General features: G+C 41.0%; 1 protein-coding gene across 4 annotated transcripts in view; it reads right to left on the bottom strand.

Moving 5' to 3' along the window:
* PAK2 (p21 (RAC1) activated kinase 2) overlaps positions 1-27614 on the bottom strand; it is a 92791-nt gene that overhangs the window by 17244 nt on the left and 47933 nt on the right. For all 4 annotated transcript variants that reach the window (NM_002577.4, XM_011512870.3, XM_047448218.1 and 1 more), the window contains exons 3-11: positions 13377-13477; positions 12240-12387; positions 10021-10052; positions 8718-8825; positions 7490-7622; positions 4751-4814; positions 3137-3185; positions 2553-2665; positions 836-953 (exon numbers count right to left, since the gene is read on the bottom strand). In NM_002577.4, coding sequence (NP_002568.2) covers positions 836-953; positions 2553-2665; positions 3137-3185; positions 4751-4814; positions 7490-7622; positions 8718-8825; positions 10021-10052; positions 12240-12387; positions 13377-13477 — 866 coding nt within the window. The remainder of the gene's footprint in view (positions 1-835; positions 954-2552; positions 2666-3136; positions 3186-4750; positions 4815-7489; positions 7623-8717; positions 8826-10020; positions 10053-12239; positions 12388-13376; positions 13478-27614) is intronic.

Raw genomic sequence — 27614 nt, 5'->3', positions numbered from 1 at the left:
TCTCCCGCCTCAGCCTCGCGAGTAGCTGGGATTACAGGCGTGCACCACCATGCCTGGCTAATTTTTGTATTTTTAGTAGAGATGGGGTTTTGCCATGTTTCCCAGGCTGGTCTCAAAACTCCTGACCTCAGGGAATCTGCCTGCCTTGGCCTCCCAAAGTGCTAGGATTACAGGCATGAGCCACCACTTCCAGCTAAGTGGTGTATTTCTTTTTCTTTTTTTTTGAGACGGACTCTCGCTCTGTTGCCCAGGCTGGAGTGCAGTGGTGTGATCTCGGCTCACTGCAAGCTCCACCTCCCAGGTTCACGCCATTCTCCTGCTTCAGCCTCCTGAGTAGCTGGGACTACAGGTACCTGCCAACACGCCCGGCTAATTTTTTTGTATTTTTAGTAGAGACAGGGTTTCACCGTGTTAGCCAGGATGGTCTCGATCTCCTGACCTTGTGATCCACCCGCCTCGGCCTCCCAAAGTGCTGGGATTACAGGCGTGAGCCACCGCGCCCAGCCTGAGTGGTGTATTTCTAATGATATATACCCTTTTACTCTCAAAAGTGTCCTGTTTGGATGGTAAATGATCATCATCACTCTACCAGAATTTCCTTGTGAATCTGGATCTTCAAAGGTCCACAATTCATTCCCAAATTATCTTATACCTGAAGGAAAGGGCTGAAACTCCTGTGTAGGATGAAATGGCACGGAGATGGAGTAATTTGCAGAGAATGTATACAGAGAAAGCACCTCCCACAATAACAATTACCTGTGCAGAAAAATTTCCTTTTGTTCACTTCTTGCTAACCACATATCACCATAACATATCAAGAAGGAGGCAAACCTACCTCTCTGCATACAGCAGCAATCTGTGCTTCATCCATGCACGTTTCTGTTACCACATCAGTGAGTGACCCCCCAGCAAGGTATTCCATGACCACAAACAATTCATCTCCTACCAGGTAACTAAAAATACAACATACCAAATACAGTCACACTTTTATTTTTCCTAAACACATGGTATTCTATGTTGAAGAATTCAAATATTAAACACCCTAACAATAAAACTAGAGCTGGTAGCTTGAGAGTTAGGAAGAAAACTGGAAAGCTGCTACGTAACAGCACAGAAAAATAACTGAAGTTATGATCCTGAATCATTTTAAAGTTACAGTTTGCCCACAACTGTAGTTTGAGTATGCACATAGCTCATTCTGATTAAAATAACCCTACAATATAGAAATTACTAGTCCTGTTTTAGAGATAAACAGACAAAGGCTTGGAGAGGTGAAGTGACTCATCCAAGGGCACACAGCTATTAATAGGAAGTGACAGAACCAGAATATGAAGCCAAGGATCAACGATTCCGAAGCCCCTGGCTTATCTTAACCACCACACTATGCTGACTTGAAATGTTATTTTAAAAAGCAGGGAACTGTACCTGAAAAGTTTATTTTTTATTTATTTTTTTGAGACAGAGTCTTGCTCTGTTGCCAGGCTGGAGTGCAGTGGCGCGATCTCGGCTCACTGCAGCCTCCACCTCTTGGGTTCAAGCAATTCTCCTGCCTCAGCCTCCTGAGGAGCTGGGACTACAGGTGTGCGGCACCATGCCCAGCTAATTTTTGTATTTTTAGTAGAGACAGGGTTTCACCACGTTGGCCAGGATGGTCTCGATCTCATGACCTGGTGATCCACCTGCCTCGGCCTCCCAAAGTGCTGGGATTACAGGCGTGAGCTACCGTGCCTAGCCTGAAAAGTTTATTTCTATGAACATGTTCTCCATAACTAGGGATAAAGTCTCTAAACATTATTTTTTCCTCATTCTAAACAAATTTAAATATGGAAGAAAATCACCTATAATCACCTCTATCTTCAATAAAACCACTGTTATCATTTTCAACGAATCTTCTCTCATGCAGTTGTAGTAATATACATCATTTTCTTTTCTTTTTTTTTTTTTTTGAGATGGAGTCTCATTCCATTGCCCAGGCTGGAGTGCAGTGGTGCGATCTCGGCTCACTGCAACCTCCACCTCCTGGGTTCAAGCAATTCTCCTGCCTCAGCCTCCTGAGTAGCTGGGATTACAGGTGTGAGCCACTGCACCCAGCCAATATGCATCATTTTCTATTCTGCTTTTTGGTCTGTTATTTAACATTAATTCCTCAACTAAATGAGGTTTTGATAGACATATAAATTTGTCCATGAAGGATAGCATTTGAAATAAAAATTGATCCACAAGTTTAAAAACCATGTAACCAGTCCCCTCTGTCAGTCAAGACACGAATCACAGCCAACCATTCATGTGTTCGCTTCAGGTCGTTTGCGATGAGTATAAACACCACCAGCTATGGCCTTCAATTAACTGCCTTCTCTCACCTGCCAAGTGATGTCCTTGCAGAGAAGGACCTTCTAAAACTGCACTGTGCTATTTTTACCTCTCCTCTTCTTTCTTCCATCTTATTTCTCGGCACTGACAGTTTATTCCAAAGTGGCCAGCCCCACCCCCGAAACCATGAGACTTAAAATTTCTACATTTTCTCCCGGTGTTTAAGGAATAGTCATACTTACCTGTCCAAAAAGTTAACGATGTTGGGATTTTTCAATTCTTTCATCACCAGAATCTCGTTAATGATCAGTTCCTTCTTTGGCTGTTTCTGTAAATTAATTTGTTTGATAGCAACCTATAATGAAAACAGGATTGAAAAAAACCAGGTTTAGGAATTCTCTTAGAAAATTACAAACCCCAAGCAGTTGATAACTCACGGTACGTGTACTGTATTACACCATGCTATTACTCCCAGGTGGCACCTTGCCTTGCACACTGCCTGTGCACAATGCTTTGTAATGTTTAGAACCTAGTTTTAGATTTATCTTGAAGTTGATTAATACACCCACAGTCAGTCCAATACTAAGAATTAATCCTCTTTTCACTTCAAGCTGAGGAAACAATTTTTAAGTATTTGCTTATTTATGACATTGAACTCATAAGTCCTTCCCCGCCTTACTGACAGAAGTGCTATAAACATACGTAGAGCGATTCTTACAACGGGCTCAACTTAAAAGAGGTTCCTATTGCTTCTTCCCAGCTTCATCTAGTTTCCACCTATATGACAAAATAATGGTAACACCCAGGATTACAACAAAGTAACTACCTCCTGTCCCAGTGCAACGTCAGTAGCAGTGAAAACTGTACCAGAAGCCCTAGAGGGAGAAAACACACAACCAGATTTAAGGTTGATAAATCACTAGCATTTGCAATATCCAAAGACTTTACACTTCAAGCAATTGAAAAAGAATTAAAGAACAGGATGACCTAACGTGCTTAAAAGGAGTAAAAGCAAAAACCTGAGGAAAGGGGGTGGGGGAAGAAAGAGACAATCCTTACGGCAAAACTTATGTGTGAAATATTTCAGACCTACAAAAATGTAGGGAAAAAAGAGCAGGAAAAAAATTATATAACATATACTTAAGGATACACTTCCCTGATTAAGATACAAATAACTGTAAATAATTTGAAGATTCCCATAAGCCCTTTCCGACAGCAGTCTCCTTCCTCCCAAAGGTGATCTGTATTTGGTGTTTATCCTGTATTTGGTGTTCATCATTTTCATGCATTTCTCCATACTTTTAACTACAAAGGACGCAGATATGTATCCCTATAAAATATACTTTGTCTAATTTTTAAACGTCATATAGTTTCATTTCACATATTATTCTGCAACTTGCTTTTGTGACTCAACACTGGATTTGTGATGGTCATCCATATGGATAGGTATTGCTTGTTCATTCATGCTCAAAAATAGTAAGATAATCTTCAATTCTCTTTCATAAAACCAGTGCTGCAATTGAATTTAGCTGTTAGGAAGAAATTCAGGCCTGGTGCAGTGGCTCACACCTGTAATCCCAACACTTTGGGAGGCTGAGGCAGAAGAATCGTTTGAACCCGGGAGGCAGAGGTTGCAGTGAGCTGAGATTATGTCACTGCACTCCAGCCTGAGTGACAGACTCCGCCAAAAAAAAAAAAAAAAAAAAAGGGAAGGAAGGAAGAGAAGGAAGGGAAGGGAGGGAAGGAAGGGAGGGAAGGGAGGGAAGGGAAGGAAGGAAAGGAAGGGAAGGAAGGGAGGGAGGGAAGGGAGGGAAGGGAGGGAAGGGAAGGAAGGGAGGGAGGGGAGGGAGGGAAGGAAGGGAAGGGAAGGGAGGGAGGGAAGGGAAGGAAGGGAGGAAGGAATTCATATGGAAGTTTTCAAAAATGGCTTAAGCCCTCACTCTAAATTCACAGAATGCTTTCCAGAGTTTAATAACATTAAAAATTTAGGTGTTTATTTGCTTCCAAGCAACAGAAAAAAGGAGTTTAGTTAGTATACTTTAAAAATACAAATTACACAACAAAATCAGAAGATCAGTAGACTCAAAAGTCAATACACAATGACATGATTTAAATGCATTTTTTATTGCTTATAGTCATGCAGTAAATATTCTTATTGTCTTTTAAATATATTTTATGGGCAATTCTTCCCTCTAATTATCACAGATGGGAAATGACACTTAAGAAAAAATAATGATACACAGTCATTGCTAACAACTAGTACAGTTTTTTAACAGCATCTACAAATAACTGCATTATTTATTTACACAAATCCCCCAAGGGTACCACTCACAGAATACTATATAAGTACTTGATGTCGGCAGGCAAAATAAACATCATGCTATAAAGCCAGGAAATACTGAATACTGAATATTATCGTAATACAGTCACAAATACTTACCCTTGTCCAATTTTTTCATATCTTGTATATTTTTTCTTAGGGTCACCTATGCTCACGATAGTTCCTAGAATAAACAAAAAGCTGGAAGCTCAGTCAAGCATTTTAAGTGTAAATTGATTGTGATATTATTATTCCTTTTAATGAACTCCACTGTTTTTATAAGTGATTTTCAAACATAATACTAAGTTCCAAAAATAACAGGTTTCAAACACAAAACACTAAAGAAACTTAAATACATAATAAAAGTTTAAAAGTATCAGAAACAAGACACATTAAAAGTTTAAAAGTAACAGAAACAAGAAGACACATTATTTCCATTAGGTTAGACCTCCTAACTAATCATTTGCTCAATAATGGTCACATTTTGAAAAGACTGTACCAGTTTGTCAGAGATTAATTAGGTTCTCAGATGTTCAGCTTTAGAATCAGGTAATCTCAAGAAAATAGACATATTTGAATATAAAATAGATATATTTGAATATAGAAATAGATATATTTGAATATATCTATTAATAGGTAAGTTTGAGACTACTTAGTATTATAAATAATAAAGGCTATCTAAACCCTAAATGGTCTTTCTGACTCTTCCAGTATACATTTCATCTTTCAATATATTTAGAAAACCACTTATTACCATAAAAATTACTATGCTCTGACATAAACTAATCATATGTTTGTTTTAGGAAAGTTCAAAGTCACAAGAAAGAGGTTTTAAAATTAGGAAGTTGGACATAAAATCCTAACTTATATTCTTATTACTAGTAAGAAAAACCACATTAAACTTTCACTTGCTCAAGGTAAAAAAGGACAGGACCATATCAAGGAAACTGACATAAATAGTTTTATGTAGGTACCCAACCTCAAGTCAACAAGCAAAGAAACAGGATCAATAATAAGAGGCTAAGAACAAAAAGATACCAAAAAGACTGGGGATGTGACAGCTAAAGGTCACAACTAAATGATGACAATTAGGATTCTAGTTAATTTTTTTTTTTTTTTTAAGTAGCAGCTCTCCTAAAATAATTCTTATATGCTCATAGAGTAACAGAGCAGGCCAGGTGTGGTGACTCATGCCTGAGGTCAGGAGTTTGAGACCAGCCCAGCCAACATGGTGAAACCCCATCTCTACTAAAACTACAAAAATTAGCGGGGTGTGGTGGCGCACACCTGTAGCCCCAGCTACTCGGGAGGCTGAGGCAGAAGAAACGCTTGAACTGGAGAGGCAGAGATTGCAGTGAGCCACGCCACTGCACTCCAGCCTGGGTGACAGAGCGAGACTCTGTCTCAAAAAAAAAAAAAAAAAAAGATAATAATAATAACAGAGTAAGAGCCAGGTTTATACTTGAAAGCACTGAGAAATCAAAACCAAATAAACATGGGGCATATAAACATTTGTTTATTTTTTAGAGACAGGGTCTCACTCTGTCACCCAGGCTGGAGTGCAGTGGCGCAATCACAGCTCACTACAGCCTTGAACTCACGGGCTCAAGCAATCCTCCTGCCTCAGGCTCCCAGTCAGCTGGGACTACAGACATGCACCACCAGGTCTCGTTAATTTTCTTTTTTTCTTTTTTTTTTGAGGGGGTGGAGTCGGGGTCTAAGTTGTATAGTTCGGCCTTGAACTCCTGGACTCCAGCTATCCTCCTATCTTGGCCAGCCAACGTACCGAGATTATAGGTTTGAGCCACTATGCCCAGGCTTTATGTTTAAAACAATCCTTCCATACAGTATTTTTCCTTGAACCCTCTAGATTAGCATTCTTTAATTGTTAATTTTATTTATTATTATTTTTTGAGACTGAGTCTCGCTCTTTCGCCCAGGCTGGAGTGCAGTGGCACGATCTCGGCTCACTGCAATCTCCGCCTCCCAGGTTCAAGTGATTCTCCTGCCTTAGCTCCCCAAGTAGCTGGGATTACAGGCACCTGCCATGACACCTTGCTAATTTTTGTTTTTAGTAGAGATGGGGTTTTGCCACATTGGCCAGGCTAGTCTTGCTCCTGACCTCAAGTGATCCACCCACCTTGGTCTCCCAAAGTGCTGGGATTATAGGCATGAGCCACAGTGCCCGGCCGGTTCGCTTTTTTTTTTTTTTTTTTGAGATGGAGTCTCACTGTTGCCAGGCTGGAGTGCAGTGGCGCGATCTCGGCTCACTATAACCTCCGCCTCCCGGGTTCAAGTGATTCTCTTGCCTCAGCCTCCCAAGCAGCTGGTACTACAGGCACATGCCACCATGCCCAGCTGATTTTTGTATTTTTAGTAGAGGAGGGGTTTCACCATACTGGCCAGGATGGTCTCGATCTCCTGACCTTGTGATCCGCCCACCTCGGCCTCCCAAAGTGCTGGGATTACAGGCGTGAGCCACCGCGCCCAGCCCAACGACGCAATCTTGGCTCACTGCAACCTCCACCTCCTGGGTTCAAGTGATTCTCTTGCCTCAGCCTCCAAGTAGCTGGGATTACAGGCACATGCCAGCACATCCAGCTAATTTTTGTATTTTTAGTAGAGACGGGGTTTCACCATGTTGGCCAGGCTGGTCTTGATCTCCTGACCTAGTGCTGGGATTTAGGGGTGAACCTGGTGACATCACCAGATTGTAATTGAAGCTACTGTTGCTATAAGGAAACAATTTATTCTTTATACTTTAAGTCACAATGTAAAGTGTAAGTTAAAATCCATCTGGGCCAAATGTTTTAAGAGCCGTGAACAATTTAACAATGATGTAAAATGTAGATAACATACTTAATTTCTCCATAATCTCTTCATCTGTCATCTTAGTCTTCTTTTTCTGTTTGTCTAAAGACTTGGCAGCACCATCAACATGTGAATCACCAACTGGTGCAGGAACAGGGTCAATTACAGACCGTGTGTAAATCTGTGGAGACACAGTTCATTACCAAGGTTTGAGGAATAATGTTTTCAGATATTCTTCCTGGCAAACTAATTCAGTTCTTTGATTTTTAACCTGAACTAAGTAGTCTTTTCCATTGTTCTAAATAATGAGAACACTATTTTCAGATATAAAAGATGTGTAACTAAGAAGAATAAATGTGAAACATTTTTCTTTGGCATAGCATGAATATATTTGAAAAGCTGTCTAGTAAAACAGCAGGTCCATGAATGAAATTTAAGTGTGACCAGGTCTAAAATGGTATAACAATGTATCAAAAAGCACGGTTTAAAAATCATGTTTTTACTACAAATGGTAAGTAAAATGCAAAAGAACAGAAACCTTGATGTTGAAATAACTATTATTAATTCCCATGAAAGTTTTTACACAATTATAATGCCTACCACCCATTTCAAACAGCCAGATTGAAAGGCTAAAGAAAACGGAGTCCTCTGCCATCAGCTTGGCATCCAGAGGCTGTCTCCTGAGCTCTGCCTGCCCGCTGTGCCAGGAGCACAGCCCATTCCACGGCACAGCACCTTCCGCACACTCTACCTGCAGTACTGAAGGGAGCAGAATGGTAACCGCAGTCATTCCTCTCTTCCTGGCTCCATTTAAGGTCATCATTTTTAAAATTCTCCCTTACCTGGTTAGGAATTTCATTCTCAACTGCCTTTTGAATGACAGCAAGGCGCTGAGAGTAGTGTAAAATGGGAGATTAAAATGCATAATCTGGGTAAGAGGAAAGCTCTAAGTTTTAGATTTAGTCGTCATCTACATTGAGATAAACAGAGAAAGCTTGGGAAATAGACGAACCCTCTGGAAAAGGTGTACTATACAAAGAAAAAAGCCCAGTGAGGTGAGTGCGTTAACTTTTAAAGACATCACATTTTAATCTTCAGAAAACTAGTTTTAGGTGAGTGGTCTTTGGGTACAGATTTCTTGGTTAAATTTCCCCATACTAAACGATTTTAAACTTGAGGGCTTTTTAAAAGCAATCACTGAAAGTCAAATACAAACTCTGCTATTTTTTAAAACACACGTGCACACACACAGCCTAGATCACCGATGGAGACTCACTGATTTCGTATGATCCGGTCGCGGGGCAATAACGGGAGGAGCAGTCTCTTCATCATCATCCTCCTCCTCTGTCACTACTGCGGGTGCTTCTGTTCCCTTGGCATTCAGCTGCATTGATGATGAGCAAAGTAAGGAAAACAAGTCCAATAGGCTTAAATGCGACTATCGCCCTTTATGAACGTACTTCAAAAAGTTTGCTTCTTTGATAGCTCATTTCAAAACCACTAAATCTCATTAGCTCTTAGATAACTCAATAGAATTATAATCTAACATAATAAGGCGATTCTATGAATCATGAAAAAGTTTATGAAATATATATATATGGTGAGTACCAAATATTTTAATAAAGTTACCCTAAGCATACATATACAATGTCCTGAAAGTAAACAATGTTACTTGTTAAGACCAAAATCAAAGATCCTCTGGGCTTTGTTATGTCAGAGACATCTGGTGACATTTAAAACAGTCAGATTTGGGGCCGGGCATGGTGGCTCACGTCTGTAATCCCAGCACTTTGGGAGGCCGAGGTGGGTGGATCACAAGGTCAGGAGATCAAGACCATCCTGGCTAACACGGTAAAACCCCGTCTCTACTAAAAACACAAAAAATTAGCTGGTCGTGGTGGCAGGCGCCTGTAGTCCCAGCTACTCGGGAGGCTGAGGCAGGAGAATGGAGTGAACCCAGAAGACGGTGCGTGCAGTGAGCCAAGATTGCGCCACTGCACTCCAGCCTGGGCGACAGAGCGAGACTCTAACTCAAAAAAAATAAAAATAAAATAAATAAATAAATAAAATAAAATAAAATATAAAAAAATAAAACTCCAGGAGACTGTTTCCTCCCAATTGAGAAACTGCAAATAAAACGACTGTTTCCAAAAACTGACTGTGTTTATGCGATAACTTAAGTTTCAGATGACTCTGAAGACTGACAAGGTTCAACTGTTCAGCACCTTTCCACAGTCTATATTCAGTAAAATAGTACCAGAAGGAAAACTGAGGGATGGAGAGGAAAATATATGCTAGCAAGTTCTTTGTGTTCACGTTTGTATATGTTAACATTACCAAAACTAACTAAACTGTTCTGAAGGTCATTATAAATTTTAGTTACATTAAGTATCACATCAAGGAATTTCTATTTAATACGGCTTCTTCAACTAATCAGGTGGCTAGCTAAAAACACCTATTGAGTAGTTATTTACCTCTGATGGCTGTAATTTATTTTAGAAAGCAAAATAAAAACTGAGATTTGTCTTGGGTAACCTAAATTAGAACAAGAGATACAAGAAATAATATAATTAACTTACTGCTGGTGTTCCAGAAGGAAAGCCATCTTTCTCTGAATATGAAACAAAACATAACATTAGCAATTCAAGAAACAGCACTTTTATATGATAAAAGGAAAAAAAAAAAGCAGAGAAAGTGAAATGTTCTTAAACTGATTTCAAGTTGAATTAACTCTTGAGAAAAATGAACACGCAAGTAGTCAAATAAGAATTTATATAAGACCAAGGTAAGAAATCTGAAATCTACATGAAACTATAAATTTAGTAAAAATCAGTGAATTATATATTTAAAATGGGTGAATTGTATTGCATGTAAATTATACCTCAATAAAGCTATCAAAATTTAGTTTGAAAGTATACCTATCAATCTGTATTTATTAAAACAAAACAAATTTATTGATAAAGATACTTTCTCCAGAAAACTGCTGACTGAGGAACTTAATGCAACAATTAAGACAATGACAATTGTGCAAAGTAAAATTCTGACATTGTTTTGTTTTTCTTTTAAAAATGCCCAGAGACATACATATATGTGTGTGTGTGTGTATATGTGTGTGTGTATATATATATATATATGTGTATATATATATATATATATCACACACACACACACATATCACATATTACATACGCACAGGCCGGGCGCGGTGGCTCATGCCTGTAATCCTAGCACTTTGGGAGGCCGAGAGACAGGCAGATCACCTGAGGTTGGGAGTTCAAGACCAGCCTGACCAACATGGAGAAACCCAGTCTCTACTAAAAATACAAAATTAGCCAGGTGTGGCGGCGCATGCTTGTAATCTCAGCTACTCAGGAGGCTGAGGCAGGAGAATTGCTTGAACCCGGGAGGCGGGGGTTCTGGCAAGCCGAGATTGTGCCACTGCACTCCAGCCTGGGCAACAGAGTAAACTCCAGCTCAAAAACAAAACAAAACACACACACGCACGCGCGTGCGCACACACATATATGTATGTATGTGTACTAGGTGAAAATAAGCTACCATTTTGTGGTCAAACATTGGTTTTTCAAAAAAATTACTAATTTACACACAGACTTACTGGTTGATAGAAAAGTTCTAGGAGCAAGTGTGACCTTTTCCTAACGGTGTACTAGACTCAACAAAAAAAGGTCAAGATCACTTGAAAAAGATTTCTATTTCTCCCTTGCACATGGCCTTTGTTTCTGTGAGGATGCAAACAGTAAGTAAAATCAATTAAAACCACATGTACGATTTTAGCTCCATCATATTGCTTTTGAAAACCACATGTATGACTTCAGAGACAGACAAACATATTGAAAAATGACATCCTGAGGATGTAGTGAGCAAAATCTAAACTGAGGGAAACAGGACAAATGATCTTGTTTCTGTAATAAATAAACGTCAAGAAAAGACAGCATGAACCAGTGTGTGGGAGGGGAAGCCTAAAGATCAAAAGAGATTCAAGAGATGTATCAACCAACTGCGTTGTATGAACTTTATTCTGATCTTTATTTGAACAAAAACTATTTTTAAAAATCCACTACACCAACTCTTACACTATATACCAATTCACTGGTTCTCTCATAGGTTAACGGTATATCTCAGATACTGAGCAACTTGGAAAACAAAGTACATCAAACCCCATTTCCATCCAGCTATATTCATCCAGAAAGTAAAATTTGCATTACTGTGACTATGTAGATGATATTCCAGATATTCCATTTCTGAGGTATAAATCCTTTTAGTTCTAACGCTTCTTTCGTATATGATTTATCTGTTTTATATATTAAAATACATATATTCTATTATCTGCACACTTGCGAGTTTCAATTTTTTGAGTGGACCTAAACATTTTTTAGTTCAACCTCCTCTTGTCCCGCTAACAATAAATGTGTTTCTAGTATGAACATGTCTATCAACCAGCGTCTTTTCCTTTGATTGCTGGAAGTCATTTAAAAGCAGTGAAGAGTGAAAAATGAAAACAAAAACACAGCAATGAGGAGAAAAAACCAAATAAACAAAAAGCCAAAATATCCATCAACTCCCGTTTCTGGCAAACCTATGAGATTACTATAATTCACAGATCCAAATTATGCTTCAGAACTGCCCTGGATCAGTCTACAAAAGGTAGAATCTATCCAGGGAAAAACCGTTATCAACAAGAACCATAGTTTAGCTTTTCATTTTTCCAGGAGTAATCTTTTTATCTAGAAGTGCTTCACAAATCTCCATCTGATCCAGCCTTATGCCACTCTCTTACCAGGAGGAGTAAAGCTCAGATATTTCTGCTTCACTGTGTTGGAGTCGTAGAACTTTAGGACATCCAGCACAGCCTGAGGATTCTTCTTTTGCTCTAGTTTGGTGATATTGGAGGTCTGTAGTAATCGAGCCCACTGTTCTGGCATGCCCTAACAAGAAGATATTCAGAAATTAGTTATGGTTTAAATTGATGCAATAAAATTAATTTCCAGAGATAAATGACAAAATACACAAAACAAACCAATCTTTTGAGTGTAGGTTTGAGTAAATTTTAAAAGATCTCATTTTCTAAAGGTCTATTTTTTCTTTTTTCTTTTTTTGAGACAGAGTCTCACTCTGTCACCCAGGCTGGAGTGCAGTCGTGCGAGATCTCGGCTCACTGCAAGCTCCACCTCCCGGGTTCAGGCCATTCTCCTGCCTCAGCCTCCAGAGTGGCTGGGACTACAGGTGCCCGCCACCACGCCTGGCTAATTTTTTGTATTTTTAGTAGAGACGGGGTTTCACCATGTTAGCCAGGATAGTTTCAATCTCCTGACCTCGTGATCCACCCGCCTCGGCCTCCCAAAGTGCTGGGATTACACAGGCGTGAGCCACCGCGCCCGGCCTAGGTCTATTTTTTCTAAGTCTGTTTTGCATAACTATAATTAATAGGCTCTGCTCTCTAGGAAAACGATATATCCAACCACTAACACTTTTATAAAAAGCAAAAAGCAGTAAGAATTCATAGTTAACGTATAGATAGAAATGTTAATTTCCCTTTTTTTGAGACGGAGTTTCACTCTTCTTGCCCAGGCTGGAGTGCAATGGCACAGTCTCTGTTCACTGCAACCTCCATCTCCGAGGTTCAAATGATTCCCCTGCCTCAGCCTCCTGAGTAGTTGGAATTACAGGCATACACCCCCACGCTTGGCTAATTTTCTTGTATTTTTAGTAGGGATGGGGTTTCACCATGTTGGCCACACTGGTCTCGAACTCCTGACCTCAAATGATCTGCCAGCCTTGGCCTCCCAAAGTGCTGGGATTACAGGCGTGTGCCACCGCACCTGGCCTGAAATGTTAATTTCAAATTTAATAATGAAGGAAAATGTTTGAGTGCTATTTTAAACGTTATAAATGGGCCCGAACTAGGTTAACTTACAGTGAATTCTCCAGTAACAGCATCAAAGCCAACATGGATGGTGTGCTCAAAATCAGATGGAGGAGAAATTTCTGGCCGTTCCTTTTCTTTCTTTTTACTTCCTAGGGGGCATTAGAAAAAAAGAGAAAGAATCAGCCTATTTAAACAAGACTAGTAAAGGCACTTATAATTTTATTTTTTGTCTTTTGTTTTTTTAAATGGAGTTTCGCTCTTGTTGCCCAGGCTGGAGTGCAGTGGTGCAATCTCAGCTGACTGCAACCTCTGCTTCCCGGGTTCAAGCCATCCTCCTGCCTCAGTCTCCCAAGTAGCTGGGATTACAGGTGCCCACCACCATGCCCGGCTAATTTTTGTATTTTTAGTAGAGACAGGGTTTCATCATGTTGATCAGGCTGGTCTCAAACTCCTGATCCACCTGCCTTGGCCTCCCAAAGTGCTGAGATTACAGATGTGAGCCACCGCATGCCCGGCATATTATGTTTATATTTTTCCTAAAACATATTAGGATCAAAGTTATTCTAGAAAACACACTAGAATCAAAGTTATTCTAGAAAAGATTTCCCCTAAAAACTGGCTGATAGGAAACTAGTAAATGAAGTAAAGCAGACTGTCCTGCCATAGAGTAGGGCTGGACACAACCAAACACTGAGGAGGCACATGGAGTGACCAACGGCAGGCCTGAGTAACAGAGCACAGGCAGAAGAGACACCCCCTTCGGGCACCAGCTCTCTCACAAAGGGCTACATCTCAGATGCTGAGCAATGTGGACAGCAAACACAGCAAACCCCATTTCCACTCAGCTACATTCATCAGGAAGTCAGATTTGCATTACTGTGACTCCGCAGATAATACACACTGTCAAGACAAGTAGTTGACAAAACCACCTCTCCTTTTTTGTGCAAGCATAATCCTTTTTTAGTGGAGTTACTAATTGCCACATTTTAAAACTATGCAGTTTTTCTATGGTCCGATTGTAAATTATTTCTGCAACATTTCTGCCACACACCTATCAATAATGTTCTCTGTGAACTCCAACACATCAGTTCCTTCCCCCTACCCCCTCCCTCTCAGCTCCTCCTGCTCTAATCTGCAGTAGCTCATGCCTACGCTTCCTGCAGTTACCGTCCATGACATCCCTTCACTCCTGCCCTGTATGTGCTGGAATCTATTTTCTGGATCTTACGTTTTCCTCTTGATTTATCCCTTTAGTGATAGTTCTTCACTAATTTTATATATATATAAGTTGGAACCCTCAGCATTTCCAGTGTTGCCATTTAGAAGGCCAGCGCCATTTTGGTTCCTGTTTGGAGCCACTGTTGAAAGTCAATTGTCTGTACACGTGTGAGTCTATCTCTGAAGGCTCTGCTCTGTTGCAATTATCTGTTTGTCTGCCTTTATGCCACTATCAGACTGCCTTGATTATTTTATTGCCATTTTGTAATACGCATTGAAACTATGTCACATAAGTCTTCTTTTTCTTTTGTCAAAGCTGTTTGGGTAATCGAGGTCCTCTGCATTTCCCTATTAATTTTAGAATAAGCTTATTAATTTCTACAGAAAGCCTGTTGGAATTCTGACTAGAATTGGAATGAATGTACATACAGATGAATTTTAAGGAGAATTTCTTTCTTTCTTTCTTTTTCTTTTTTAACAGGGAGTCTCATTCTGTCGCCCAGGCTGGAGTGCAGTGGCGTGATCTCAGCTCACTGCAACCTCTGCCTCCCGGGTTCAAGCAATTCTCCTACCTCAGCCTCCTGAGGAGCTGGGATTACAGGCATGCACCATCATACCAGGCTGATTTTTATAATTTCTGGTAGAGATGGGGTTTCACCATGTTGGCCAGGCTGGTCTCAAACTCCTGGCCTCAAGCGATCCATCTGCTTTGGCTTGCCAAAGTGCTGGGATTACAGACATGAGCCACTGCACCTGGCTGAGAATTTATTTCTTGATTTCTTAACAACACCGAGTTTTCTGATCCATGAAAACAGCAAATCTTTTCATTTATTTAGGTCTTTAAAAATTTCTCTCAGCAGTGTTTGCAGTTGTCTTCATCCGTTCGGTACGCTTTATCAGAATACCACTGCCTATGCAATTGATTAATATAAACATTAGAAGCTGGCTGCGAGCAGTAGCTCATGCCTGTAATCCTGGCACTTTGGGAGACTGAGGTGGGCAGATCACATAAGGCCAGGAGTTCAAGACCCATCTGGCCAACATGGCAAAACACTGTATCTAAAATGCAAACTTCAGCCGAGTATAGCGGCACAAGAATTGCTTGAACCCAGGAGGTGGAGGCTGCAGTGAGCCGAGATTGTGTCACTGCACTCCCCAGCCTGAGTCACAGCGTGAGACTGCCTCAAAAAAATAAAAGTTCATTTGGCTCACAGTTCTCCTGGAGGCTGGAAAGTCCTCCAGGTCAAGGACCAAGAAGCCACACCTGGTGAGGGTCCTTCTTGTTGTGTCATAACGTAGCCGAAGGCATCACATTGCAAGAAAGAGAGCAGGAGAGGGCCAAACTGGCTTTTATAAGCAACTCGCATCCACAATAAAGACATGAGTCCATCCGTGAGCACTCGCGTCGCCTCTTGAAGGTCCCATGTCTCAACACTCTCTTACTGGGGCTTCAGTTTCTAACACATGAACTCTGGGGGACACTTAGAAACAGAGCAGTAGTTATCAGTGCAGAGCGCACACTGTTTCATCAGATTTCTGCCTCGGTATTTCCTGGTTTTGATACTATTGCAAATGGCAGTTTTAAAATTCCCTTTTTAATCATTCATTGCAGCCATAAAGAAACACAGTTGTTTCTTGAATACTAATCTTATATCCTGAAACCTTATTACACTTACTTCCACTAGTATTTTTGTAAATATACAATTTTGCTACAAAAATTCAATCATGTTGTCGGTGAATAAAATCAAGTTTACTTCTTTCCAATCTGGATTCCTTTTATTCGTTTTCTTAAAAAAAATTTTTTTTTGCCTTACTACATTAGCTAGACCCTTCAGTACATTGTTGAATAAAAGTGGATGAAGAGAAATTTTATTTTTCCTGATCTAAGAGGAAAAACTGTCATTCTTTTTACCCTTAAGTTTAATGCCAATGGTAGGTTTTTAAAAGATGTCCTTTATGAGGCTAAAGGGCATTCTCTTCTATTCCAAGTTTGCTGAACACTTCTATCAGCAATGGATACTGGGTTCCGTCAAATGCCTTTTCTCCATGTATTGAGACAAACCCATGGCTCATCCTTTCTATTGTGTTAATACAGTAAATAACATCCATCGATTTTCAAACTTAAACCAACGAAATCCACTTGGTCATGATGTATTACCCTTTTTATACACTGCTGGATTCCAACTGCTAAAATCTTGCTAAGAATTTAACATTGGCCAGGCACAGTGGCTCATGCCTATAATCCTAGCACTTTGGGAGGCTGAGGCAGAGGGATCACTTGAGCTAAGGAGTTCAAGACCAGCTTGGCCAACATGGTGAAGTCTCGTCTCTACTAAAAATACAATAATTAGCCGGGCGTGGTGATGCATGCCTATAATCCCACCTACTAGGGAGGCTGAGGCAGGAGAATCACTTGAACCTGGGAGGTGGCAGTTGCAGTGAGCCAAGATCGCACCACTGTACTCCAGCCTGGGCAACAAAGCAAGACTCCTTCTCCAAAAAAAAAAAGAGAAAAGAAAAAAAAGTTGGTACATATTTGTTCATACCATCTTTTTAATATCTGTAAAATCTGTAGGGGTGCCACCACCTCTCTCATTCTCAATATTGGTAATGTGTCTCTCCTCCCCATCCACTGCCCCCTGTCAGTCTGGCTATAGGTTTATCCATTTTATTGACATTCTAAATGAATCTACTTTTGGTTGCAGTGATTTTCTCTGCTGCTTTTTCCCCCTATTTCATTTATTCCCATTTTGCTTTTTATTATTTCCTTTCTTCTACTTACTTTGGATTTCATCTGCTCTTCCCTTCTAGTTTATTAAGATGGCTTAGCTAAAGTCATTGATTTAAAATCTTTTCTTCTAATATGGTGTTTAATACTATAAGTTTTCCACTAAGTACTGCTTTAGCAGTATCCTACAAATATTGATGTTTTGAATTTTCATTCGGCTTAATATATTTTCTAAATATCTTTTTATTTGTGAAGTGCTTTCTTTACTTTCCAAATATTTCCAGAGACCTTCTTGTGACTGATTTCTAATTGAATTATATTATGATCACAAGAACACACTTTATATAATTTAAATCCTTTATTTATTTTATTTTTTTTTGAGACAGAGTCTTGCTTTGTTGCCCAGGCTGGAGTGCAGTGGCACAATCTTGGTTCACTGCAACCTCCGCCTCCTGGGTTCAAGCAATTCTATGCCTCAGCCTCCCAAGTAGCTGGGATTACAGGTGCCCACGACCACGCCTGGCTAATTTTTGTATTTTTAGTAGAGACAGGGTTTCACCATGTTGGTCAGGTTGGTCTTGATCTCCTGACCTCATGATCCACCCACTTCGGCCTCGCAAAGTGCTGGGATTACAGGCATGAGCCACTGCGCCCAGCCTATTATTTTGAGAGGGAGTCTCGCTCTGTCGCCCAGGCTGGTGTGCAGTGGCGCAACCTCAGCTCACTGCAGCCTCTGCCTCCCAGGTTCAAACGATTCTCCTGCCTCAGTCTCCCAAGTAGCTGGGATTATATGCGCCTGCCACCACGCCCAGCTAATTTTTGTATAATTAGTAAAGACGGTTTCACCATGTTGGCCAGGCCGGTCTCGAACTCCTGACCTCAAGTGATCTGCCCGCCTCAGCCTCACAAAGTGCTGAGATTGCAGGTATGAGCCACCGTGCCTGGCCAACATTTTTGAGAATTTTTAAAAGTAGACCTCATGTGTCTTTAAAGAGAATGTATATTCTACTGTTATTGTGTGGAGTGTTCTATAAACGTCTATTAGGTCAAGTTGGCTGATAGTTACGTTCAAATTTTTTATATCCTTAGCGATTTTATGTCTACTTTTTCTACCAATTACTGAGAGAAGTTTTGGAATCTCCGATTATAATTGAATTTGTCTGTTTCTTCTTGAAATCCTCTCAGTTTTTGCTTTGTGAATTTTGAAGCTGTTATTAGGTACATAAATATTTAGTTCTATTATATCATCTTAATGAACTGGTCCTATTATCACGAAATAACAACCTTCCTTATTATCACTGATAGTATTTTTTAGCTCTAAACTCTAGTTTGTCTGCTGTTTATACAGCCAGTCCAGGTTTCTTTTAATTGTTAACACACCTTTTTGTATCCTTTCATTTTGGCCTATTTTGTGGCTTTATGTTTTAAAGTAGATTTCTTGTAGGTAGGTCTGTTTTTATCAATCTTTTCTGCCTTCTTCTGGACTAAGTATTTTGAGATTCCCTTTTATCTACTCAGTTGTTTCTTAAGCTAGAACTCTTCATATACTATCATGTTCACCTGTTGAAATTGTACACTTCAATGGGTTTTAGTATATTTAGAGTTGTGCAATCATAATCACAATCTAACTTTAGAACATTTTTATCATACCCAGAAGAAACCTTGCACCTAATGGCAATGACTCCCCATTTCAGCCCTTGCCCCACCCCAAACCTCAGGCAACCACCAATCTACTTTGTCTCCATAGCTTTTGCCTGTTCTGCTCATTAATATAAATGGGACCAAACAATATGCAGTCTTTTGCGAATGACTTTTGTTACTTAATGTTTTTGGGATTCATCCATGTTACAAGGTGTATCAGTGCTTTGTTTTCTTAAAAACTCAAAACAATTATCTTTCAAAGAAATTTAGATAAGAAAGAACGCATACCACAAGGGTCCCCAGCCCCCAGGCCACAAACTGGTACCAGAGTCCGAGGCTTGTTAGGAACCGGCTGCACGGCAGGAACTGAGTGGCAGGTGAGTGAGCATCACCGCCCGAGCTCCGCCTCCTGTCAGATCAGCAGCCGCGTTGGACCGCATAGCGTGAGCCCTACTGTGGACTGCACACGCGAGGGATCCAGGTTGTGCGCTTCTTATGAGAATCTAATGTCTGATGACCTCAGATGGAACAGTTTCATCTCGAAACCATTCCCCCGCACCACTGGGTCTGTGGAAAAACTACCTTCCGCGAAACCAATCCCGGGTGCCAAAAAGGTCCAGAACCACGGAGGTGCCACATCCAGTGCTTTTCATTCTTTCCTGTGAGTCCACATTTCCATCTGACATCACCTTCCTTCTGCCTGAAGGGCTTAGTTTAACATTTTTTGTAGTCTGTCTGCTGACGATACACTCGTTCAGCTTTTACGCATTTAAAATTCTGTGTCCTCCTTTGTTTTGGAAAGACACTTTCAATAGTATAGAATTCTAGGCTGATAGATTTTTTTCCCTTTAAATACTTTAAAGATGTTGTCCCTTGTCTTCTGGCTTGCACTGTTACTTAAATAAAGTCTGGGATCACTCTATCTTCGTCCTATATATATAATGAGTCTTTCATTTTTTTTCTGGTAGCTTTTAAAATTTTCTCTATCACTGTGTTTTTGTTGTTGTTGTTGTTTTTGGTTTGAAACAGGGTCTCGCTCTGACACCCAGGCCGGAGTGCAGTGGTGCGATCTCAGCTCACTGCGGCCTCAACCTCTGGGCTCAAGCAATCCTCCTGCCTCAGCCTACCAAGTCCTGGGAGTACAGGTGCACACCACCCTGCCCAGATAATTTTTCTTTTTTTCTTTTTTTTTTTTTGTAGAGATGGGATTTTGCCATGTTGCCCAGGCTGGTCTTGAACTCCTGGGCTCAAGTGATCCTCCCACACTGGCCTCCCAAAATCCTAGGATTGGAGGCATGAGCCACTGTGCCCAGCCCTAACACTGGTTTTAAACAATTTGATTACAGTAAGCCTTGGTGTAGTTTTCATGTTTCCTATGCTCAAATGTTGTTAAATTTCTTGAATCTGTGGGTTTACAGTTTTCATTAAATTTGGAAAATTTTAAGCCATTTTTCAAAGAAGTATGAGGATATTTAGTCTGGTTTTTATTGGATATGTTTGCTTAGAGAGTCTCTGTAATTTACCTGTTGATTTTCTTTCTTTTCCTCACCCCCGAGCCTAGGTTGCTGCCTCCTTTCCAGCACTAAATGGCACCATAAGCCCAGGTTTGCCTGGGTTCTAGCAGAGTGCAGCCCATCCTAAATGGGAGAGAGGAGTCCCCAAGGGGATATTCTGGTAGCAGTACAGGAAGGGTGGCTCAGGGTTCCTGCCAAGGGTCCTGTGGAATAAACCTCCTACAACATGGTGTTGCTGAACAGCTGCTCTATTTGGCATCCCCTTTGGCTGAGTTATACAGCAGGGTTTCCAAGGCTGGGAACAGTAATCCCGCCTCCCTCCTCTGCCTCTGGCTGTCCTCAGGGTAGCTCTCCCTATGCCACCTGTGGGCTAAGGCAGGGACAGGCCTCCTGCCAGGGAACCCAAGATGGTGGAGAAGGTGGCTGTCTTCTTCAATCTCACTTTTTCCTGTGTAGACACTGTGAATTGGGGGAGATTTTCCCACACTTGGCGCCAGGCGGACAGGGGGAACGGGTGTTGCAGATACGGAAGTCCGATTCTTACAGCATGCCTGGAGTTCTTTCATTTCTCTGTGCCCCTGGGAACTGTCTCCTTCTCATATCTGAGTTCTTGGATGTTGCTGGTGATCATCTTAGTGCTGTATGTTCTTGGTTTTCTGTGGTGGCAGGGCAGAGTGAGTGAAGCCAGTGTGCTTCTACACCACCATTTTAGAGCTAGAAGTCACTATGTCCTCCACTTAATTGTCATTAGTCAGATCTTTTAACTGTTATCTTTTCTCTCATATTTTCCATCTTTGTATTTCTGTTTAATTCTTTGAGAGAATTTTCTTTTCTTTTTTTATTTGAGACAGAGTCTTGCACTGTTGCCCAGGCTGGAGTGCAATGGCGCAATCTTGGCTCACTGCAACCTCCGCCTCCCAGGTTCAAGTGATTCTCCTGCCTCAGCCTCCTGAGTAGCTGGGATTACAGGTGTACGCCACCGAGCCCAGCTAATTTTTGTATTTTTAGTAGAGATGGGATTTCACCATGTTGACCAGGCTGGTTTCGAACTTCTGATCTCAAGTGATCCACCCACCTTGGCTTCCCAAAGTGCTGGGATTACAGGTGTGAGCCACCGCTCCAGCAGGGAGAATTTTCTTGATTATCTTCCACTCTTCTTTCTATTGCTATCTTTTGTTTGTTTTGGTAATTTTAAATGTTGATATTCCAAGAACTGTTTTCCATTGTTCTCTGATCATTCTTTCTCTGCGAACTCTTTTCTTGTTTCATGGATTCCTCTATCTCCTCTCTTTGACGATTATACAGTATGTGTGTATGCACAGGCTGCAGTTTGGGGTTTTTTTTCTCCTTACACTGTCTATTTCTTTTAAGTTCCTGTTTTTATCCCTATTGTTTTGGACTCTCCCTCTCATTTATAAAGGGTTTTTCATAAATGTCGGGTGATCCTGTACTGTCTACTCATATAGAAAGTATTAAAAAGCTAACTGGGAGTTAAGCCAACCTTAACACTAAAGATAAGGACAGCATGCATGCAAGGTACCTAAAGTATTTTTTTCCCCAGGCCATTGTTTATCCAGAGAAAAATCTTCCAATCTCCTGTCTGAGGCTGTGAGTCAGGCTGCAGGTATTCTGAAAGCAGGATGGGGAAAGGAGTTGAAAATGCTGACTTGCATGAAGTCACCTGCTTTATTCTGGTGCTTCAACTTTTCCTGACTCCCCTGATAAGAACAGAGGCTTCTGTGGTTTAAATTCTCTGGAAATAAATGTAAATCCCAGTTTATTCTTTTTTCCTTCCGGAGGATGGGGATAACACTTACATGGATGTGTGGGGTGTAAAGGAGGAGTCCTGGGGGGCCTTTGACACTTTCGATGTTGATTTTCAACTAATCCCCCTTCTCCTCAGCATGTGTAGTGCATCCTACCCCCACTCCGACACAGTGTCGTGTGCCTCTAAATCTTGAGCTTCCAGAATTTCTACAAGGGAAACTTGTTTCCCTTCTCACAGATTCCCCTCTGCAAACGCTTAGGTTATGTGTTTCTCTGTCCTGCTGAGTCAGGTGCCAATTTTCCACCACTTCTGCCTTCCAAATGTGTACTGAAGCCTCTTTCACAATACTGTCTCCTCTCTTTTTCTCTTTGACCGTGTGTGTGTGTGTGTATATATATATATTTTTTTCTGTCATTTTAGTTGGGTCTTGGGAGGGAGAGTAAATAGAATGCTTCTGTATGTGGTCAACATGCTGTGTTTAACCAGAAGATTCTTCTAATATCAAAGAGTTAAAAATCATGCTGTTTGATAAGTCTATACATATAAGACTGGAAATGTTACCGTATGCTCTTCTTTGTTTACAAAGATACTACTAGTTTAGTATTGGTAGGAAACACAATAATACTTATTTAACTAGTAATGAGGGATTTATGCTCAAATGTCCATCTCCTCTCTAGGCATGTAACTTAAAAGAGATCTGGTCACAGTGAGAGGGAAGGGAATGCTGGTTATGGACAGGAGCAGAGGGAAAGGAAACTGTTAAGCCTGGATTCTCTTTACTGAAACACAATTATTAATACGTCTATCATAAATTACCTCTCTCTCAATTTTCACTAGACTTTGAGTAATTTGAGGTCGTGCACTCAACATTTCTTTATGTCCCTTGGCTTCTAACGGAATACCCTACATACAGGAGAAATTATTTATTAGTTAACGATAAACTAGTAGTTTACAATTTAATGTACTATGATTATATGTGTTCTTTCTTTTAAAAAAATCTGCTCAGCATCCTACTTTTGGAAACTTCCCTCACCTTTCCTCTATGCAGATAGTTGGGAAAGATGCCATTTTCTTACACGACTATGGTCACAGATGACTGGTCCGAGGTGGGCACCTAACTCAAGCCAGGTCAGCACAGCTTCCCACACACCCTCCAGCAACTGGTGCAGGGGCAGCCACCTGAGCAGCTAAGCCAGACTCGGCTCCCTGAGAATCAGTCTATCACTAGTGTCTGAAGTTGTAAGAAACTGAGCCCAGGAATTCTATTTCTTTTTTTTTTTTTTTGACGGAGTCTCGCTCTGTCGCCCAGGTTGGAGTGCGGTGGCGCGATCACAGCTCCACTGCAAGCTCCGCCTCCTGGGTTCCCGCCATTCTCCTGCCTCAGCCTCCCGAGTAGCTGGGACTACAGGGGCCCGCCACCACGCCTGGCTAACTTTTTGTATTTTTAGTAGAGACGGGGTTTCACCTTGTTAGCCAGGATGGTCTTGATCTCCTGACCTCGTGATCCACCTGCCTCGGCCTCCCAAAGTGCTGGGATTACAGGCGTGAGCCACCACGCCCGGCCCAGGAATTATATTTCTTAACACATAAAGAAAAAACATTCTGAAATAAGAAATATAAAATAAGAAAAAAATATAAAAAGAAGGGTGAGAGATAACATATCTAGCAAGAGTATTCCTGGTTCCTGTTGTGTCTAAGGCCTAGTCATATTCTTCAACTTGGAAACGTTAAGAGTTTAGAGAAATATATTAAAGTTTCATATATGATAGGAGTATAGAGTAAAAAGTTAAAGGAAAAACACAAAAACGATTAAGCAGAACTTGAGATAGAGCCACATTAGATCATTCAAAATAAACATAAAATCCTAAAAATCTGTTCAATGCCATTTGTTTTTACATAACACACATACAGGTACTCTCTGTATTTTAATAGTCTCAATGGGAAAAGGAAAGGATATTAGAAACAGTGTCTAAAACAAAAAGATACTAAAGCATGTCTGGAATTGAACAATGTGCTGGAAAGATATTGCTATACCAACAGAATGTCTTTAATACTCTTATATAACGACTCTAGAAGCCCAGAAATAGAGGGCCAATCACAATAAATTTATGTAGATGTGGGGGTTCAGTCAGGATGGCAGAAGAAATTATAGGAATAGAAAAAAGCAAACCTGCTTGGAAGGCCGGGGAGTTTTGCATAGCTTCAAAGTTTGGCTGAAGGTAGCCAGATTCTCTTTTCAGGAGCCAGAGAGCTTAAGGTACAGATACAAAGGAATATAAAGTAGTTTATCTAAAGAGCTTGTTTACTCATGTGGTCCTAAGACTAACCTTTGATCATTGGTGGGCAAGATGGCCCTCTCCAGGGTGGGGGCGACCAGGTGAATTACCCACAGGTGTGTTGACTCAAGCCTTTGTCAATTAATCTATACTAAATAAATGCAAGCTTCCTTGGCTAGTTGAGGCCGATGGTTGCAACGCTTTACAGCACTCTCCTGGGAGTCTGTAAGTGGCCCGGACTCTCAGCTGGACTGACAAGCATAACATCTGTGTCAGTGTAAGTTATTCATCCGTCATTGGGTCAGGGTCTGCGGGACGGACCCCTACATGTTACACCTTAGCTTTGGAGAAATCTGAAATCTGTTCATGTTTCATAAAATGAAAGGAGGTCAACTTCCCACTTCTGCTTATCAAACACAACCATCTACGGGAGGTTCACCAGGCAACCAGATCACTTGATGGGAAGTAATAGACCAGGGCAAAAAACTTATTTTAATAAAATAAACAATTTAACTAGTGTCCTAGGAGAAAAAAAGATTCTTAGAATCATTTTCCAACTTCATTAGACAACAAAACAGCAGCAGCAGGCAGGCAGCAACCTTCAGCCAAGAGGCAGAGACCCTGAGTCACATGTTGACAAAAGGTACTGAAAAGAATCCTAAGTAGGCTACTGTCACATTCTCTAGGGCACTACCTTTTAGACTGCTTTCAAGCTACATCTAAGGCTAAACAAACAAATAAAAGAAACCCTTTATCTGTTTAAAAGGAAGACTCTTCTGTTTCTAGTCTAACCATAAGTAATTCCTCCTTTGTTCTTTTGATGTGTAATAGCTTCAAATTCCATGACACAGCAGAGAATTCTCTAGGAAAGGTGTCCCCAGCCCCAGGGCCGTGGACCAGTACAGGTCCATGGCCGGTTAGGAACTGGGTGGCACAGCAGGAGGTGAGCAGTGGGGAGTGAGCACCACCGCCTGAGCGCCACCTCCTGTCAGATCAGTGGCAGCATTAGATCCCCATAGGAGCGCAAACCCTATTGTGAACTGCGCATGAGAGGGATCTAGGCTGCACACTCCTTATGAGAATCTAACTAATGTCTGATGATCTGAGGTGGAAGAGTTTCATACCGAAACCACCCCCCCGTCAGCCCCACAGAAAAATTGTTTTCCGGCCAGGCACGGTGGCTCACGCCTGTAATCCCGGCACTTTGGGAGGCTGAGGTGAGCAGATCACCTGAGGTCAGGAGTTCGAGACCAGCCTGGTCAACATGGTGAAACCCTGTCTCTACTAAAAATACAAAAAAATTAGCTGGGCGTGGTGGCGTGCACCTCTAGTCCCAGCTACTCGGGAGGCTGAGGCAGGGGAATTGCTTGTACCCAGGAGGCGGAGGTTGCAGTGAGCTGAGACCACGCCATTGCATTCCAGCCTGGGCAACAAGATGAAACAAAAAAGAAAAAAGAAAAATTGTTTTCCATGAAACCATTACCCCAGTGTCAAAAAGGTTGGGGACCACTCCTCTAGGAAATAGGCAGAGAAGTATGGGTTACTATTATTAATCTCAGAATTCATTTTTTTAATCAGAAAGGTTGTTTACAGATCTAAGTCATAACCAACCAGAAGTGAAGGTGCTTATAGGTTGAATAGCTAGATGTGAAAATTGCTTTAGTTAATAAAGACAATACCATCCAACTCTAGCTGTATGAATAAAGCTTATTTTAAAAAGTCAAATGGCTCACTGACATTTTCATTATTTAAACTAGTAGACTAGTTAGGCCATTTCTCACTTGGGCTACAGCAAAAGCCTCCTAACTAGTTTCCAACTTCACTCTCACACTTCGAACAAAACCTTTTTTCTATATACCTACCATTCTCTCCTAACTAAAACAGAGAGATGGCCAGGTCTTTCCCCTGATTAAAAATCTGTAATGGTTCCCCAGGAAACAGGATAAAATGTGAGCTCTGTAGCATAGAATACAAGGCCCTTTATGACCTGGTCACTGCCTACCTCTTCAGCCTCTTCTGCTGTCTGTAGTGCCTACATACACCCTGCTGTAATTCTCTGTCCTTCCCTCTCTGCTTTCCAGTAACACCGGGCGGCACTCAGCTCCATGGATGTGCTCTGATCCCTCCTGTAGGTGGGCCACTGAAACAGGCTCTTCCCGGGCATGGAACACACTTTGTAACTATCGTTTCCCTTACCCATCCTGCAGTCTTCAGCTCTATTATGACCTCCTTAGGAAGCCTTCCCAGACACTGCAGATTGGACACATGTTGTGCACTGCCTCTGTACCACTTTTCATGGCTTGTAATTCTATACCATGGTTTGAGATTGCTGTCGTGGGAGCAGGGACACTATCTGCTTTATCACTCATCTCTGATTATTCACATAGTACACACATTAGCAAGCATGGAAAAAAGATCTGTTCTGTCAAGTTGCCTTAAAACGGCACGATCCAAAAGGATAATTTTCGAGTTTTTTGGTGATACCAATTAAAACCAGTAATTAATAAGTGAAAACATCCTAGAGTCTTTATTTTCTTTTTATAAAAATATTAGCTGTTTTTTTAGTAAGGAAAGCAGTAAGGGATGTAAATTTTTTAGTGGAATAAAATGAATTATCTCTAGATCAGGCCTTACATTAGAGATGGCAAAAGTCTTAAGGTCATTATGATTTTTAAAAAATGGAAATACAATTGTTTGCCTTTTAGACTCTTCTGTTTCAAGATGATGTACTGAGCACATACTGAAGTTCTCTCCCTTCTACACCAAAACCGAGTGTTTCACAGAATAAAATCCACGAGGAATGCTCCAGAATGAAAAGCAATTAGCATAAGACTAGCGAGAGAAGCAGCAGTTAGGATGTCAGTGGGAAAATGCTTCTGCAAACTGCTGCAGGTGGCTGAAACTAGAAGCAAGGTGGGTGGAAATGAGCGGACCCAGAGGCAACCACTAGGGTGATGAACGGGATAATCCAGTGAGAGCAACAGAGCAGGTTATTTCTATGTTTACAAAAGCACGGATGTGTAAACACACACAAGGTTCTCCCTCATTCCTAATGCCGAAAGCTGGGCCCCAGTGACTGGGCTGTGTTTCAGCTTCCAGGTAGGAGCAATAAGTGTAAGAGGAAAGGGAGGTAGAGCTCCA

This window comes from Homo sapiens, chromosome 3 (genome assembly GCF_000001405.40).
Source record: "Homo sapiens chromosome 3, GRCh38.p14 Primary Assembly".
NCBI classification, from domain to species: Eukaryota; Metazoa; Chordata; class Mammalia; order Primates; family Hominidae; genus Homo; species Homo sapiens.
This window is presented reverse-complemented; position numbering and strand designations above follow the sequence as displayed.